Source organism: Homo sapiens, chromosome 18 (genome assembly GCF_000001405.40).
Source record: "Homo sapiens chromosome 18, GRCh38.p14 Primary Assembly".
NCBI lineage: Eukaryota > Metazoa > Chordata > Mammalia > Primates > Hominidae > Homo > Homo sapiens.
The window spans coordinates 26850139-26867631 of record NC_000018.10 but is presented as its reverse complement, the minus strand read 5'-3'; the positions used below and the strand labels follow the sequence as shown (position 1 = coordinate 26867631).

Below are 17493 nucleotides of genomic sequence, written 5' to 3'. Positions count from 1 at the left end.
TGGCACTTTGTAAAATGGTAACTGCAACTGCCGAGGCTGTGCAGAGAATGCTAATAAGCCTAGGACAACCTGTAAAGAGTGGACCTAGAAAATGTCCACCCACCGACCAGACCGGTAGCCCTAAAGAGCCCCACTCTGTAGATTCCTGAGGATCTGCCCACCGTACTCATTCACAAGGAAGCCCCTAAACATGGCTACATTGTGCCTTAGCTTCACAGCCCTCAAAATACTTCTGACTCAAATGTCTTAGGGTCAGAGTAATGACATTTAGCACATCTGCCTAGAAACTCACAGTTTTCCAATTTGTAACAAACATTTTGCACCTTTTAAAAATCTCATTCTAAAATCCAAATGGTAAACAGCTTTAAGAATCAATATGAAATGTTTTAAGTGTTCTCTGTGGCTTCATATAAATTCTCCCTGCCCCTCTCATCAGAATTTATTCTGACTTTCAGGGAGCATATTAAAGGTAGAAACCACTGATGTACAATAATAAGTGTGCAACCATATTCTTAAGAATCTAAATTCAATCTTGGTTAGCTGAGAATGCTTGAAACAGTAATAAAGTGCTCCTCTGAAAGTCACACTCAAATTTTGAATTCCTCTTTCTAATGAGAGCTCTTCACCCATTCCCATGTCTCAAGTACGCAAATGAAAACAAAACAAAAAAACTGTAACTGGGATTTAAAAGTATAACAGTCTTTCTTCTCTCATGTATTTCTTTCTTGTCATACTTCATTCTGGAAAAAAATAATCCAATCTGAAATATAAAGTGGGAAAAGGGAGGCATCCGTAGGTAATGTGAGTTATTATCATTGTTCTAGATGTTGGGTTGAGTGGTGGGTTCATAGATGTTCATTACATTATTTAAAAGCCATTATAATTAACTATTAGAAAATAAGAGGGCCATACATGCACGAGTGATGACAGAGTGTCATAAATCAGGAATTCTGATTATTCCAATCCCATGCACCTAAGATCTGTTTAAAGAAAAAATAATAATGAGATGGTGATGCAGGTAGCTAATGGTTAGACCCTTCTAGAGTTCACCAAACTCCTTCGGCAGGGACGTCTTCATAAGCATGCAGCCTGCGCAGCTGCACAAGGTCCTGCCTTTAGGAGCACCCAGCCTTTATTTATGCTCTGCTGTCGCAATCTTGAAATTTAAATAGTGTTTTACCAAGGTGTCCTGCATTCATTTTGCACTGGGACCAGTAAATTATAAAATCAGTCCTGTCCCTAAGTTTCCAGAGGTTAAATTTACCTACAGTTCCCCATAATTTCGTCCCCATCCAACTTTGATATTTTTTAAGTTTGCTACTTCTTATCCCCAGATTATTAATGTAACAGTCAGGTGAGCACCCTAGAGCAGTCTTTTTTCCTGTATTTCCTATGTTTCCTTATTTTTATTGTCCAAATCAGTGCTGCCTGTGCTATAAATGGAGCTGCAGTTATATATTGTTCTTATAATGCTTCTTCTCAGATCAAAAACTTCAAACAGAATTCATTGGCTAAAAACTAAATGCACTGAAGTCTCTATCTAAATTCATGTTAACTGCTGGATTATACAAATTCATTTTCTAATAATTGCCCAATTTCAACTACAACATATAACCAAACAAGACAAATTCTGAACAATTCTTCATGGTAGAAAGAATTCAAATAAAGATTTAAGGAAATCCTCATTTTCAAAAATTACTGTCTCAAAAAAAAAAAAATTAAGTAAATGTTTTTGCATTCCTGAAATGCCCTGTGTCTACAGTGATCAGGTACAGAAAAGCTACTTCAAGTTCAAATATAACTTAGCGATTGCCACATGGTGCAGAATCTTTCCACCCCTAACACTCCAAAAACCCAATCAGACAAGTGGCCGTAATCTGACTCCCAGCACACAGGGAGCTGCGGGGCAGGCAATGAGAGCTGCACTCTGGCTGGGGAAGGCATGAGTGACAGACCCACAGCAAGGCGGTGGGGGTAAGTCCTTCTTTGCCTTAAGGGAACAACGCTTAGGGCCAAAAGATGAAACTGTCTCTTTTATTATAGATGTTTGTGCCTTCTTAGGCAGAATCTGGAAGGCAGCTATAGGGCAGGTGGGTGGTTCTTTTAGATCTGAGTACTGGGCATTTTCAGAAGAGAGGCATAGAGAAGGTAGAAGAAAAGGGATGCTTTTTAGCCAAATCCTCCATATGTTTCAGATCTGCAAAAGCCCAGGAAAATTACCCTATGGAGGTGAATCTAGCTATAGTACATTTCTTCGGAAAAATTACTCACCCAGACGCTCAGCTGTCCTGGAGTGGATGAAGCTGAGTGTTCAGCTAGAAAGTAATGTGTCCGATTCAGTACATCAACAAACCCGCTTTGTTCTGGGGCAAAAGAAGCAAATCTAATTGTGTTGATCATTTCCAGTGACTGTGAACATATAAGGGAACACTGACAATAAAAGCAGGGTGCTATGGGTGACGCTAGGGTGAGCCCTCATAAGGCCAGAGATATGTATATGCTGCCAGCAAACTTCACGGTTCACAGCCAAGTGAGGCTGGTCCATCTGCCTTGGAAGAAGATCAGATTTTTGTGGATTTAAAAAAAAAAAAAAGCTAAAAACATTCTTAAAGAGCATGTTTATGTTTTGTGTTGGTGTTTTGCACTGTTTTAAATTTCTCTGGTTGATGAATATTTGAAGCTGAAAGAGCAACTACCTCTGGAGAGGTAAACAGGTGCATGACAGGCCAAGCAGGGAGAGAACTCCGGAAATGGCAGAAGTGAGAGGTGAAGGGGGTGAGCAGCGGGGCTGGCCTTTTCTGGGTCCCACCTCTTCTGGTGTCTCCTGCGGGGCTGAAAAGGACGTTTCCTGCCCACCTAGCTTCCTTAGCCTACTGTTTTGTCCTCCTCCTTCTCCCCTAACCCTGACCACAAACGACAGCACCTATGATCGCATTTTGCCCCCTTTGCCATCCCGGCTACAGCCCTGGGCTGCCGGTGAGTTCAGAAGTGACTCTCCTAACTTCTTCAATATGTGACTTTTCTGAGTTTACCGTCTTTGGGAATATTTTTAGTGTCTCCTCCAGGGTGCCCTCCCTGCCCCATTGCAACCATCGTTTTTGTCTCTTTACATTCTTTTCCTCTAGAGAGTATGATGTCGTTGTCATCCCACCTGGGGTTTTTCATACTTCTGAGATTCGCTTCACTGGGGCAGGGGATGCGTGGGATGTGGCTGGCCACCCCCCTGTGGAGCCAGCTCTTCCTTTATCCTGCCACCCGGGCCTGGGCAAGAAAGGGTTTTTCTCTCTCCACCTCTAAAGCAAAGCCCCATAGCAAACTAAGGGCTAGGCTGAGCTGGAAATTCCCCTCACCCTTTTTGGCACTGCATTTCCTCACTACCCACGCAGAAAGCAGGTTCCCGGGAACATTCAGTGACATGGGGAAATGAGGGCCCCGCAATTTGTCAAAGGGAAAGCCACAATAATACTAATCTCTTAAAGTACTTGGCTTTCTTGCCTAACCCCTTACGTGGTCCTCTGCAATTAGATTCTCTGGTAAATACTCTCCATACTTCTTGGCTCTCATGACTATCACAGGCAAAGGACAAGGGCAAAAGTCTTAGATGATAGGGTAACTGGGGTAATTGCCCCCCCCCCCCAAAAGGGGAATCCTAGCCATTTCCTGCCAGAATGAGCAGTTGGCATCAATATCGTCAAACCACCCCTTCTCTGCTCCAAAGATCTAATGACAGCAAGAGGGATATAGACGGGAGGAGAAGGCGTCCTCCCTCTCCCAGACTCCCTGCCCACCACCCTCCCCAGAGAAGCTCCACAAGGTGAGACACACTGTCCTATAGGCCCATGTAACAGAAAGCCATCAAAAAGACCGTAGAGAAAAGCCGTTTTCCATAGAGCCTTCTGCTCAGGGGCCCACAGTTTCCCTAACCACACCCGCTTTTCCTGACTTCCCGAGCTCTGCACCATGAAGGCAGGAAAGGTACCGGGGCATTGCTGGCACACCCCAGCCTCCAGGCTCCCTTTGGCAGGTTTATCTGCATTGTACGGTCAGGGTCAAGGGGTGAGAGAGGGTCGGGCACGAGGAGAGGCTGTCCTTCCTCCCCTAAAAGCATCCCCCACTCCCATCTCTCCCCACCTCCAGCGGCCAGGATGCACCGGGCCGGCGGGCAGGCGGGCGAGCTCGCGGGGCCGCTTCTGCGTGTGCACCTGGCCGCCGCCCGGGAGCCTGCCACGGGCCGGGAATGGCCGCTGCTCCGCCCTCTGAGAGGTGCTCCAGGCTCCCTGGGGACGGAGGTTTACACGTCCCCGTGCCGCGCTCCCAGATCTGGGCGGTGCGCGTGTCCCTTGGGCAGGCTCAGCTCCCGGACTCCTCCCGCTGGCAGCCTGCTCGTTCCTGGCGCAAAGGAGAGGGAGGGAGTGTCGCTGTCCCAGCTGAGGCCCTGCCTGTTCCCATCGCCCTTGCTAGTCACCAGAAGCTCCTCTCCCCTCAATGAGTTCACTTTCTCAAAAGACAGCCTTCAGCACCCTGGTTTCCTAGAAGGCTTCCCCCTAATCCAGAGTCTGGGGGGAGGGGGAGATTTTCAGAATGCCATTTCAAAGCAATCAAATGCAAAGCTAGAAAAGACGACCCCCCCCCCCCACGCACACCTTGTTTTAATGCTTTATGTTCGAAATGTAAGTAGCATATAAAATGTACTCGAAACTTAAAAACTTGCTCTAAGGGAATTAAGTACAAGGTAAATATATTTTATTCTTAATATTTTAAGGAATTTGATTTAGACATTTTTCCTTTCTAGGGACAGTTTGGATAATTTTCCGTGAAACTGGATGATCTTTGAATATTAAATGAAAGGAGACTAGAATAACAGTCTCTTGACTATTCATGAAGGAGCTTTAGCAGAAGCATTCTTTCTTGGTGTGCAAATCACGCCTGGCAGCCCCTGCCCACAGTACCCGAAGATGGCAGGCCTTGTTCCCTTCACCTAAATTCATAAACCTGGGTGTAGTGGCTTCTGATGCTGATTTGTTTCTCTTTTCAGTAAGTGTGGACCTTTGTGTACCAGAGAGAACATCATGGTGGCTTTCAAAGGGGTCTGGACTCAAGCTTTCTGGAAAGCAGTCACAGCGGAATTTCTGGCCATGCTTATTTTTGTTCTCCTCAGCCTGGGATCCACCATCAACTGGGGTGGAACAGAAAAGCCTTTACCGGTCGACATGGTTCTCATCTCCCTTTGCTTTGGACTCAGCATTGCAACCATGGTGCAGTGCTTTGGCCATATCAGCGGTGGCCACATCAACCCTGCAGTGACTGTGGCCATGGTGTGCACCAGGAAGATCAGCATCGCCAAGTCTGTCTTCTACATCGCAGCCCAGTGCCTGGGGGCCATCATTGGAGCAGGAATCCTCTATCTGGTCACACCTCCCAGTGTGGTGGGAGGCCTGGGAGTCACCATGGTAGCATCTTTAGCTATTTTCAAACTAGGACTCCAAGCTTCTTGCAAACTCTTTGCTAAATAATGCCTTGGTGGCATGAGGCACATCCCTAAAATAGCTAATTTACTCCTAGGGAATTTTTGATGATTCTTAATAGTGTGAAAACTGATTCTGGCAGTATTTAGGTATATCTGTAAGAAATCATTGTTTGCTCTTGAGTGCCTTAAAAATAACAAAATCTAGGTGGCCCGAAAATTGTGTTGGTTTTTTCCTCCCCTTCTCCCATTCCAATTACTATATTGACTTTATATTTAGCTTAATGCATTTTCCTTACAGTTATTTGTTCACTAGCAGAAAAAAACTATTTTCTTGTCATGTTCATAAGATGTACAATGATCTACATAAAGGGTTATGCTTAAAAAAATAGACATCCGATCCTAGTTTTGTTCTTAGCTGATTAGGAGTATCAATTGTTAACTCAGCACCAGGGCTGATTAAAAAAAAACACACATGGCTTAAATTTTAATTGAAATATATATTAATTAATTTAAACCTAATTAATGGATTTAATCATTGCCTTATAAAATCACAAGGCTCTCAAGAAATTCTTTTACGAGTTAAGTGCTGCAGTGGCACATTTTGCTTCCTTTGTAGAAAAGGACATTCAGCACAAACTCCTGTTTGGTCGTTGTAAGAGTAATCACAGTCATCTGTGATGACCCAAAATGAATATAAATTTATTCCTTCTTTTTGGGGGGTGAGAGAAGGAAATTCTCAGTTGAAGGTGGGGTAGAAGACTTACCTTTACTTTTTACACAGATAAAATGTGCCTTTCACAATGATATTAATACATTGTCATCGAAAATACTCTTGCTTCAATTCTGATGGAATATTTTTCTTTCTCTAGGTTCATGGAAATCTTACCGCTGGTCATGGTCTCCTGGTTGAGTTGATAATCACATTTCAATTGGTGTTTACTATCTTTGCCAGCTGTGATTCCAAACGGACTGATGTCACTGGCTCAATAGCTTTAGCAATTGGATTTTCTGTTGCAATTGGACATTTATTTGCAGTAAGTTTCCAAGTCCATTTAAATAATCAATCCCACCTCATTTATCCTCACTCTAGCTGGCCTGAAGATGTTGTGTTTTACAGCAGTAGCTCTTTAGTATCCAGCCATGACTGTCCATTTTAGGTTATAATTTTTCCAACTGCTCAATGAGAATGTTGATATAGCTGCTAATATCTTGAGGTTCCTCTAAGTGACAAATGACAGCAAATTGCAATGAATGATACTTGCTAGTAGCCCTGTTTCAGCAATGTCTGAAGTTGTTTTCTTGTTTCCTATAGATCAATTATACTGGTGCCAGCATGAATCCCGCCCGATCCTTTGGACCTGCAGTTATCATGGGAAATTGGGAAAACCATTGGGTAACCCTCATATTGATAGTTCCCATCTTCCTACAGTTGAGGACAATTACCTGTGGGGCTCTTTTATTTTTCATTATTTTGCCTACTACTTTCTCTTGCATTTCTCCAACCTTGACCCTCACTTTATTACATCTTTCATAAAGACTAGGGAAAGAATAGCACAGATCTGCTGTAAAAAGATAAGAGATGTAAAACATCTCTAACTGAAGGTTCTAGGCCTCCAATAATAGTCTTTTCCTTTTTTGAAGCACTATTTTAGACACTGTATCTAACAGATTGCAGCAGAATACACTGTATATAGAGGTTGCCTATGTGGAACAAGTTAAAGTCAGCATGGTGTAGTGAATATGGTGTTTAAATAATTGAAAGTAAAGTCTTCCCAGCTATAATGGAAAAAAATTGCAAAAAAAAGAGAAAGAATGAAATACTTAAAAGCGCTGCCCATAGCAAAGATATTTACCCTTTTTTTGTTTACAAATGCATGAACTCAATTAATAGTATGTAAGTTGCAAGTATTTGAACTGCAGATGGTGTCGAATAAATAGTGCAAAGGTTTATGTTATTATCACCATAACTGTTACCGGAAAAATAAATGACTCACAGAAAAGGCTCACTTTTCAGTCTCAAACCTAAACTATTATAAATAAATATTTATTAATGTAGTGGCAGTGCTTCCAGAGAATAGCAGTGTCCATTTTAAAATATTATAATTAATTTTGTTTCAGTTGTTTCTCACAGCAAAGGAATTTAAATCCTTTAAAATTAAATAAGTAATGCAGCAGTTGTGAAGGCCACCAACATGCTAACTTACAATAGCCAATAAAAATATGAGACCTGTAAGCCAGCTTCAAAGAGCGCTAGCTTTTATTATAATTTATATATTGCAAATGTCACTTACAACTTTAAAAAATTCATGAATATAACAGAATATGCCCCTTGTGTTTATTCAGACAGTGATTACCAACCTAGTCACAGCCATTCATCTATGGTGTACACTGCAAATGACAAGAAAATGCACCGCTGCTATGTGCATTCACTTCTAAGAAAAGTATACCAAATCTTTAAAAGTAATCTACAGCATTAAATAACAGAATAAGAGTCAGCGTTCAAACCAAGACTTAGCCAAAAATGCCATCCATGAGATTAGTCATTTTGTCACTGATACCTCCATTTATGTCTCAAAAACTGTTACCACATTAACAGAAATGGAAATTTTTAGTGAGTAGTATATGATTTTGTTTTCTTCTTTTTGAGATGGAGTCTTGCTCTGTTGCCCAGGCTGGAGTGCAGTGGCATGATCTCGGCTTGCTGCAACCTCCTTCTCCTGGGTTGAAGAGATTCTCCAACCTCAGCCTCCCGAGTAGCTGGGATTACAGGTGCATGCCACCACACTCAGCTAATTTTTGTATTTTTTCATAGAGACAGGGTTTCACCATGTTGGCCAGGCTAGTCTCGAACTCCTGACCTTAGGTGATCCACCTGCCTCAGCCTCCCAAAGTGCTGGGATTACAGGCGTGAGCCACAGTGCCCAGCCCTGATCTTACAATGAAAATACAACTTTCAGTTCAACATATTAAATTGAAACTATTTTGTCATTAACAACTTTTAGTTAAATTTATAAGCACTTGAAAATGTAGATGAAAAAATATATTTTACTAATTACTTGTCAGTTGCAGTAAACTAGTTAAGATTTAAATAGTAGGAACATTCTTAGCTTGTTGATTAAACTAAAAGTTGCCCCATGTTATATTATACCAATCTTAATTCTACTAAAAATAGCAATGGTTGTATGAAATTTAGAACTAATTTAAAGTATATTTGTAGGTAGAAAGATTAGGAATAACATTAAAATATTAATTGGGTTTTTTGTATAGTGTAATGATATTATTTTAGTTTTCTTTATACTTTTACACATTTTCTAGATTTTTAGCAATAAAGATTCTTTACTTTAAAGTACATATGACTTCATTTTGAAATAGCAACTTGACACTGAGATTTGTTTATTTTTGAGAACATGCAGCTGGGTATCTTATTCACAGATGTTTTGGAAAGGGTAGTAATTATTTTGCTGTTCTAGTCTCCCTTGTGGGATTTGTAGCCTGTGGAATAGTACATGTCTAATGAGACCTTACTAACAAAGAGCAAAGACATTTAGAGGAGGGCTCTCATTTCTCCTTTAAAAGGGCATAGAGAAGATAAAGGCTCATATGGGTTTTTTCATGTTCAAGAGAGGAACTTGATTCTTCCAGCCACACTAGCAACAGTTTCCCCGTAAATGTTATGTCTTCAGCCTCAGCTTAAATTTTGAATTTTATTTAAATCTTACAATGAGGATGCAAACTGAGATTAATTTGCAGAGGGTGTTTTAAACAAAAAGCATCCATCATGTTTTTTTTCAAATGAGTGTGTAGTACAGTGGAAAACAGTATACTGCAGTGTTTGGAACAGTGTTTCAAAAGAGAGGTTTTCATTTTGTTTGTTTGTTTTTTTCTTTTTTTTGAGACAGGGTCTTACTCTGTTGCCCAGGCTGGAGTAGAGTGTCACGATCATGGCTCACTGCAGCCGAGACCTCCCTGGGCTCAAGTGATCCTCCTATCTCAGCCTCCCAAGTAGCTGGGACTACAGGTGCACACCACCAAGCCCAGCTAATTTTTTTTTGTATTTTGTAGAGACAGGGTTTCACCATGTTGCTCAGGCTGAATCGAACTCCTGGGCTCAAGCAATCCACCCACCTTGGCCTCTTAAAGTGCTGGGATTACAGGTGTGAGCCACTGTGCCCAGCCTCAAATGAGAGGTTTGAAGTCAGACAGGTCTGAAATCTCAGCTCAACCATTTGATAAGCACAAAATCTTAAGCAAGCTTATTACCCTCTCAGAGTGTCACTCTTCTTTTCATAAAATGGGAAGAATAATAATATTTATCTCATTGGTTATTGTTAGAATTAAATGAGATTATACAAGAAAAGTGCCAAGTACGGCTGGCCCGGGGACAGTGCTCAACAAGCAGGGTTTCTGTTGCCCAAGTGCGTCTGTTAAATAAATGTCTAATATTCTACAGCACACATGTGCTCTAAAGCAAATGTCTGCACTTCATTCAAACTCAAAACTTTATTCTAGGGGCATAGCTAATATGTAATAATAATTTCCGGCTGGGCACGGTGGCTCACACCTGTAATCCCAGCACTTTGGGAGGCTGAGGCAGGTGGATCACGAGGTCAGGAGATTGAGACCATCCTGGCTAACACAGTGAAACCCCATCTCTACTAAAAATACAAAAAATTAGCCAGGCGTGGTGGCGGGCACCTGTAGTCCCAGCTACTCAGGAGGCTGAGGCAGGAGAATGGCGTGAACCCGGGAGGCAGAGCTTGCAGTGAGTGGCGATCGCCCACTGCACTCCAGCCTAGGTGACAGAGCAAGACTCCGTCTCAAAATTAATAATAATAATAATAATAATAATAATTTCCATTTATTGAAATCCTATGGAATTGCTACTTCTCAACTAGCCATAAACTCATATTTTTTCACCAAGCCATCGTGAGAACCGCATAGATGAAAGCTATCTGCACAGTAATGAACACGAGGTTTTCATTTAAATCAAATCACCAAATTTTGGAAGCCTGGAATGGAGCAGATTACTACGAGCTAAAAACTATCAAGTACTTTACAAGTATTGTTGCATTTAATCCTTTTACCCCGTGAGGTTTGTATTATTATAATCCCCACTTTACAGATGAGGAAATTAAGACTTGGAAAGTTACGTAACTGATACAAGCACTCATAACTCTGCTAAGTGGTGGAGCTGGGTTGGTTTTGATCATGCTTACCTGAATAACGGAATCCCCAAAAGATAAAAACTGTGTTATGATCATGATTGTGCAGGAAACCAGTGTAAAATGGCAATATTGAGAAAATAAGAGAAGGACTCTCCAGAAATTTTTTTTTTATTTTAGTTAAAGAATTCTTAGTGCGCTTAATTTGTAGTACCACCAAAGAGGATCTATCTTTACATTAACGATTATCATAAGATGGAAAGAACATAATTAATGAAAAGAGGATAGGAGATGAAACAGTTCTTTTTGTTTTCTGTTCAAATGCAGTTTAATAATTTATGGATCTCTGATGAGGCTTTGGTGTGTTTTCTTATTTCCTCTCCAATTCCCCTCTTTTTGATGCATGACACAAATACACTCTTAATTTAACCCAGCTAGATTCTACATTCATGAGCTGCTCAATGGAATAGCTTTTCTCTACTTACACTCTATCCTCTTCCATCTTTTCCTTAGATATATTGGGTTGGGCCCATCATAGGAGCTGTCCTCGCTGGTGGCCTTTATGAGTATGTCTTCTGTCCAGATGTTGAATTCAAACGTCGTTTTAAAGAAGCCTTCAGCAAAGCTGCCCAGCAAACAAAAGGAAGCTACATGGAGGTGGAGGACAACAGGAGTCAGGTAGAGACGGATGACCTGATTCTAAAACCTGGAGTGGTGCATGTGATTGACGTTGACCGGGGAGAGGAGAAGAAGGGGAAAGACCAATCTGGAGAGGTATTGTCTTCAGTATGACTAGAAGATCGCACTGAAAGCAGACAAGACTCCTTAGAACTGTCCTCAGATTTCCTTCCACCCATTAAGGAAACAGATTTGTTATAAATTAGAAATGTGCAGGTTTGTTGTTTCATGTCATATTACTCAGTCTAAACAATAAATATTTCATAATTTACAAAGGAGGAACGGAAGAAACCTATTGTGAATTCCAAATCTAAAAAAAGAAATATTTTTAAAATGTTCTTAAGCAAATATATACCTATTTTATCTAGTTACCTTTCATTAACAACCAATTTTAACCGTGTGTCAAGATTTGGTTAAGTCTTGCCTGACAGAACTCAAAGACACGTCTATCAGCTTATTCCTTCTCTACTGGAATATTGGTATAGTCAATTCTTATTTGAATATTTATTCTATTAAACTGAGTTTAACAATGGCAAAATACAGTATGTCACAGTCATGCACATTCAAGAGAGAAAATATAACAAGTTCTTTTATGAGCAATCCCTTATGCATAGACTACCTTGGCAAAAGAGCATTAGCAAGTGTCACTGCTCATCAGTTACTTCCTTCCATTTATATCACAAATACCCAAGTTTCAATTCTAACTTCATTTCATGGTATTTCTTCCTCCTCAATGCCCAAGGTAATGTGGGACTAAAGCCCAGAAATTTGAAAAGAATATTCAGAAATCCTTCCCAAATCATAAGGGCACCTATTGAGATTCAAGACAAGCAGACTCGTAAAATCTTGTAGAGGCAGAGGCAAAGTTATCATCATACAAAAATCACAAACAAAAAGGAGATCTGTATTCGGGTATCAAACGGTTGATCTGTTTTCAGTGCACACCCTCAAATGCACCACACCAGTTTTACGATCTAAGCTTTTAACCCCTTTACCACTTTGCTTATTTTTAAAAAATTTATTGGCAAAACTGGGGATTTTGTTTGTAACTTTGGTTATCTATATTTAAACATTAGCTGAGACATATTTTTGATAACAAGAACTTAGCTAGTTGAGTCCTGGCTTTTTGTTGATTATTAAGCTGTGTTCACTCTAGAAGGTGTAAAGGCCCTGTCCCAATCTCTGCTCTCTCACTTCTCGTGACATTTGTTGATAATCTTTACTGCAAGTGTAATGATATTTGAGTGAATTAAAATGCATGACAGACAAGGTACAACATGGTTGCAGAATAAAAGGGTGAGGACATCAGATCACTCTGTATTCAAAGCTTACTAGACGAACAATCTTTCATTTCTGGATATATTGTAGCTAACCCAACACATTTTTAAACTATTTTTGTTACTGACTCACTTACTTGTCAAAATAATTGGTTTTTCTGTCCTGCTTTGCCTTTTGTCACTAGAATGTTCTCCAGAAACCCCAGTTTCTGTCATCTTAACTGTCTAGTCTAGCCGTTAACTTAGACAAAGAAGTGCAAATGTCAATTTCACTAAACAAAAGCTATTAGAAGTAAAGCAGAAACCTATCACTGCAAGGAGTGACTTGTAAATAACTGATGATCAAGGGCTGTCTTCTCTCAAGCATGGTTCCAACTCTGTGTCACTTTTTAGCGTTAATGGCAGTTGTGTGTCTGTGGCAGTGAGATAATGGACCACTATTAAACCTGATTCTCTTCGGTGCTAGGAAAGAGTGATGTGTGAGATTCCCAGAGAGTCGTCACACCAGTGTTATGCCTGGGAGTGCCACTGGCATACCGCAGGTGCCTAAATCCCAGGCCCCTTTCTCAGGGGGCGTGGCCACACCACACACTGCGCCAGTGACACATAGTTACTTCCTGGCTGGGACGGCACCTATAGAAACTAGGGTACAAATCTCCCAAAGATGGTTTGCACCGTCATTTCAAATGTTTGCACAATATACCACTTAGAGGCTTAAAATCAGGGTGGTTCAGTTCAAAAGGTAATATCAACCGTCAGCAAACATGTCAGTTTAAAAATAAGTTCGGTTAACAAGGAAGTGTTAAGCAGATTTTTTGAATACACTTACAATATACTGGCTTATAATCATTTTTATTCTGCCATATGGTTTATTTCATATACACTCACTTTTACACTCACTTCCAATTATAGCATTCAATAAGTTACGGTTAAAGAAAAGTGAATGGTGTTTTTGTAATTTGTTTTCTAGTAGCTAGCAGAGAGCCTGGCACATAGTATGTATTCAAAACAAGTGTGTTAATTAATAAAAATATATAAATCTCATTTGAGATTTAAGAATATAAATAATTTTCTTTTAATCTTTATTTTGCTCAATATTTAATAGGAAGTATGATTTCAAGGACTACTAAAGGAAGGCAATATACATGTGAAAACCATAAAATACATTTTTTGCATTCTACTATTTTTAGGGGCATGAAATGAATGAAAGCTTTAGCACTTTTTTGCCCCTACATATGAGACAACATATTTTGTATTTCACTCAAGGCTCTGCCAGTAAAAAGTAATGAAATTGTACCTTTCTAATGACATCTATGCAGCAGGGGTCTATCGCCTTGTGGATGGCACCAAATTATCCAAGTGTATTAGGAGACTGGGGCTTTTTTCTTTAATCCCTTCTTATTAATGAAGTGCATAGTGCTGCTCCCAGGAGACCACTGCTGACAGATACACAGAGAAGAGATCAGAGAGGAAAAACTGGGAAGACATAAATGAATTATACCCAGCCATGAAACAATGCCAACTGTCTCTTCCCTAAGGAAGAGTACAAGTACCCTAAAATTGAAAGGTGGTCCCTACACTGAAAACGCACATAGTTTGTCAAAAGTGTACAAAAGGGAAAGAGTCTTATTTTAAGCTTTCAGGCTTTCTTAAAAACTTGGGGACCAGAATTTCAATGTATGTTTCCATTGTTGAAGATAACATTTTCTTCAAAGAGCCTTAACCTTTTGTACTGGAAGGAAATATTTTCTGGACTTAAGTAGTTGCCTAAATTTAAGATTCCTACACTTTATTTCTGCCATTGATGCTTTTCCTAAACCCTTATACTATCTTTTTATTATCTGAGCCTTTTCCTAATGCAGCTCATAGGTGCTAGCTAGAGCTGCTGCTCAGTATTGAAGACTTTACAAGGAGATTAGAAATCTTTGGAAAACATATGTGATGAAATTGAGCTATATGATTTATCAGAGATCTGATTCCAAAGAGCACAGAATACTGTTCTCAGACCATGAAACCAGACAACACATGTATTGGTTTAAACTCGATAATGACAGGAAAATTCCAAACTAGAGCAGTAAATTCAAATGGTAAGATGAATCCTAGAAGGCCTCTGATTGCAGCATGTTGACACCAACCTCACGTTACGAACAATTCACAGAGAATTTGCCTTTGTGGCAACTGAAGATGGAAGTCTGGGGGGCACAGACAACCTTATCAAACAATATAAAAGCCAATATAAATTCTCATAAGCACTATAGAATTTGCAAATTCAGAACATTTTATACCTAAAAGTAATTCTGTCTTTCCTAAAGTGTTTTTAACATGAAAATTAGTAGGAAGATGTGGTTACTATTTGGAAAGTGTAATGTAACAAAACTCTCTTTTGTTACCACAAATTTTGTGAGTTTAGTACTCTACAGATTGCCCCATAAGAGCAGTAGCTTTTGAAACTCATAATTCTCTGAAATAAATGAAAGACATTTAATTCAAGGATCAAAAATTGTGGCCATCTTTGCAAATGACTACCTATAGCCTGTGAAAATACATTTCAAAAAATGTTATGTGCAATGAACACTAAATTTAAGAGCAGTTACAGTGTGACTCACTCATGTTTAAAAAAAATCGAAGAGCTAAAAAATACGTCTAATTTATGTAACCCATTGGAATGTATTTCTAGGTTCTCTTCAGGATTAATTAAATAAACATGCAATTTATGAAAACATATAAACAATTATTTATCACTTTTATGACCCAAATCACAATAAAATTGTCATTTAGGATAAACTGGGGAGAATAGACTGAACATATGGTTATATTCACAGTTATTTATTAACTTAAATGTTATTCCAACATTAGAGCTAATGTTAAAAAGATTTAAACTGTAACGTCTAATATTTGGAATAATATATTAAAGTATTAGCACTGTGGTTGATTTTCTTGAATTATGTTGCATCTTGTACTACTAAGCTTGTGAAAATAAACATTTGGATGTTTTAAAAGGTAAACATTATGTTTGATGAAGTTAAAAATTCATTTGTAGTTAGATCTTAAGTTCATCCTTTAGAATGATCAGCAGGTTTAGATATTTGAGTATAATCAACACCAAAGGAAATGGTGGTAAGCCCATGAAATCAAATGCATTTTTTGAAAGCCTGCAGAGTATACACCATGGGATGCCCTGATAGAGATAGTGAAAATTGTGTTTGTACAGGCTTAATTCAAAATGTCCGCATCTATGCAAAATAAACCATTGGTTATCAGCTATCATTATGGTGAATCTAAAAGTGAAGACACAAACAACTGCGACTGGTATTGCTAAATAAATGATCCATCCTCAGGCCATTTGGCAGATTCCGCCTACCCAGATGGATAATGTAGGCTCAATGAGTACTGGTTTAACTCCCTGGGTTCTTGGTTTGAGGGGCTTCTCAATTTTGAGAGGTTATACACTCTCAGTGGAAGACTAAGGACAATTATATATGTAGTGTGCAACCCATCAGATGAGTGGTGAGTGATGCCTTAGGAGCCAGGTGGATAAGTACCACACTTATAGCATTGGTCACACTGTAGTGAAATCATTGGTGTAGGTGTCTATCTCCTCCACTAGATTCTAAACTCCTTATTGTGTCTTATGTATTCTGTATCTTCCCACTCCCACCTCCAGCCGTTGACACTGAGACGAGGCTTGACTTTTCACTCAATAACTGCTTGTTGCATGGATAAAGAAAGAAATTAATTAATATCTTACAATCATTAGGAAATGTTCAATCTAGTTGGATTTTGCTGCATAGATGTGTGCTAAATATTTGAATTCTTATAGTTTCAGGTAGAAGCCCAAAATTAGCTCAACACTAAAGAAAAAGGGAAATGCACACAAAGAATAAAACACTAATTGGATTTCTAAAATTTATGCCTAATGTGTAGGCAACTAGACATGTTTTCATTGCTATATTTATACAATAGCCAGATGTTAGATGAAATTTAGCTCAATGAGTACTTCAGCAAAAAGAAAGTATTTTAACAAGCATAGAAACCCACAGATATAAATATCGGCTTGCTTTTGGATAATTATCCCATTTGGAAAATGTCCAAAACAATGTCACCTGAATTAATTCTTACTATTTTTTCATTTTTCCACTTCTTCAATCTCTGGGTTTAAGGCAACATTAAGAACTCTAAAAAGCTGAGTTGAGTTCTTCAATTTCCACATGTTCAGAAATCTCTGGGAAATTATTATGATGTTTGTAACCTTTTGACATACCACATGGCTGATGCTCAATAAATGCAAGATGGATGCATGGATGGATGGATGGATGATGGAGGGATGGATGGATGGATCATGGATAGGTGGATAGATGGATGATAAATGATGGATGGATGGATGGGTGGATGACAGAAACACTCTAATCTGGAGATACTAATCTATGAGCAAATGAAAATCATAGCCTGTATTCCTTCTATCTTTTCAAGGACTGCTTTTCACAGAAGAGTTATAGAATTATGAAAGCATCAGCCAAGGGTATCAAGGGAAGAGGAGAAATGAATGCATTAGAATAATTATCAATTGTGAGCATATATATGGGAATTTTGAATTTATAAATATTATTCTCAATTAATTAATATTCAAAGCTCATTGTGGGGCAAGCAATATTATCATTCCCATTTCCAAAAATGAGGAAATCAAGTGTCAAGGAAATTAAGTAAATTACCCAAAATTACATTTAAAAGTAAAGCAAAAACTGGAATACGGATCCCAATTAATCCCAATCACCACACAGTTCCCCTGAATCACACAAAGTTCTCCCATTCATCTATCAGCTTCATTTCCCATTAGCCATGTTTCCTTTAAGTGGCAAAAAATAAAAACATGTTCTAGCTATACTATGGGAACACCTCATGTCAACGCCAC

The 17493-nt window shown here is 39.2% G+C and overlaps 1 protein-coding gene and 1 long non-coding RNA gene across 9 annotated transcripts in view, besides 1 other annotated feature; one reads left to right on the top strand and one right to left on the bottom strand.

Annotated features, from left to right (window-relative positions):
* AQP4-AS1 (AQP4 antisense RNA 1) overlaps window positions 1-2324 on the bottom strand; it is a 70639-nt gene extending 68315 nt beyond the window's left edge. The window contains exon 1 of the long non-coding RNA NR_026908.1: window positions 2272-2324. This is a non-coding gene — a long non-coding RNA (AQP4 antisense RNA 1). The remainder of the gene's footprint in view (window positions 1-2271) is intronic.
* Window positions 1829-15594, top strand: AQP4 (aquaporin 4). Of its 8 annotated transcripts, none has more exons than NM_001364286.1 (5): window positions 1829-1974; window positions 5036-5450; window positions 6337-6501; window positions 6780-6860; window positions 11143-15594. In NM_001364286.1, the coding sequence occupies exons 2-5, from the start codon at window positions 5070-5072 to the stop codon at window positions 11419-11421; spliced, it is 906 nt and encodes a 301-aa protein (NP_001351215.1). In that variant the 5' UTR covers window positions 1829-1974; window positions 5036-5069; the 3' UTR covers window positions 11422-15594. The 8 variants fall into 5 exon arrangements, with proteins under 8 accessions (NP_001351215.1, NP_001351216.1, XP_011524244.1 ...); NM_001650.7 differs by having other exon boundaries at window positions 1925-1974; window positions 11143-15589; XM_011525942.4 differs by having other exon boundaries at window positions 1925-4670.
* Window positions 4176-4676: an enhancer, noted in NCBI's record as "H3K4me1 hESC enhancer chr18:24442920-24443420 (GRCh37/hg19 assembly coordinates)". NCBI's record gives its function as "activates a minimal SCP1, AML or CMV promoter by ChIP-STARR-seq in naive H9 embryonic stem cells {active_cell/tissue: H9 hESC(naive)}" and the evidence as "EXISTENCE:reporter gene assay evidence [ECO:0000049][PMID:30033119]".

What these genes read in the sequence shown, in the direction of transcription:
- AQP4 (NM_001650.7), top strand. Translation starts at nt 1,943, where the DNA reads ATGAGTGACAGACCCACAGCAAGGCGGTGGGG. An exon ending in CCCACAGCAAGGCGGTGGGG is followed by an intron (nt 1,975 to 5,035) that starts GTAAGTCCTTCT and finishes TTCTCTTTTCAG; the next exon opens with TAAGTGTGGACCTTTGTGTA. An exon ending in GAGGCCTGGGAGTCACCATG is followed by an intron (nt 5,451 to 6,336) that starts GTAGCATCTTTA and finishes TTCTTTCTCTAG; the next exon opens with GTTCATGGAAATCTTACCGC.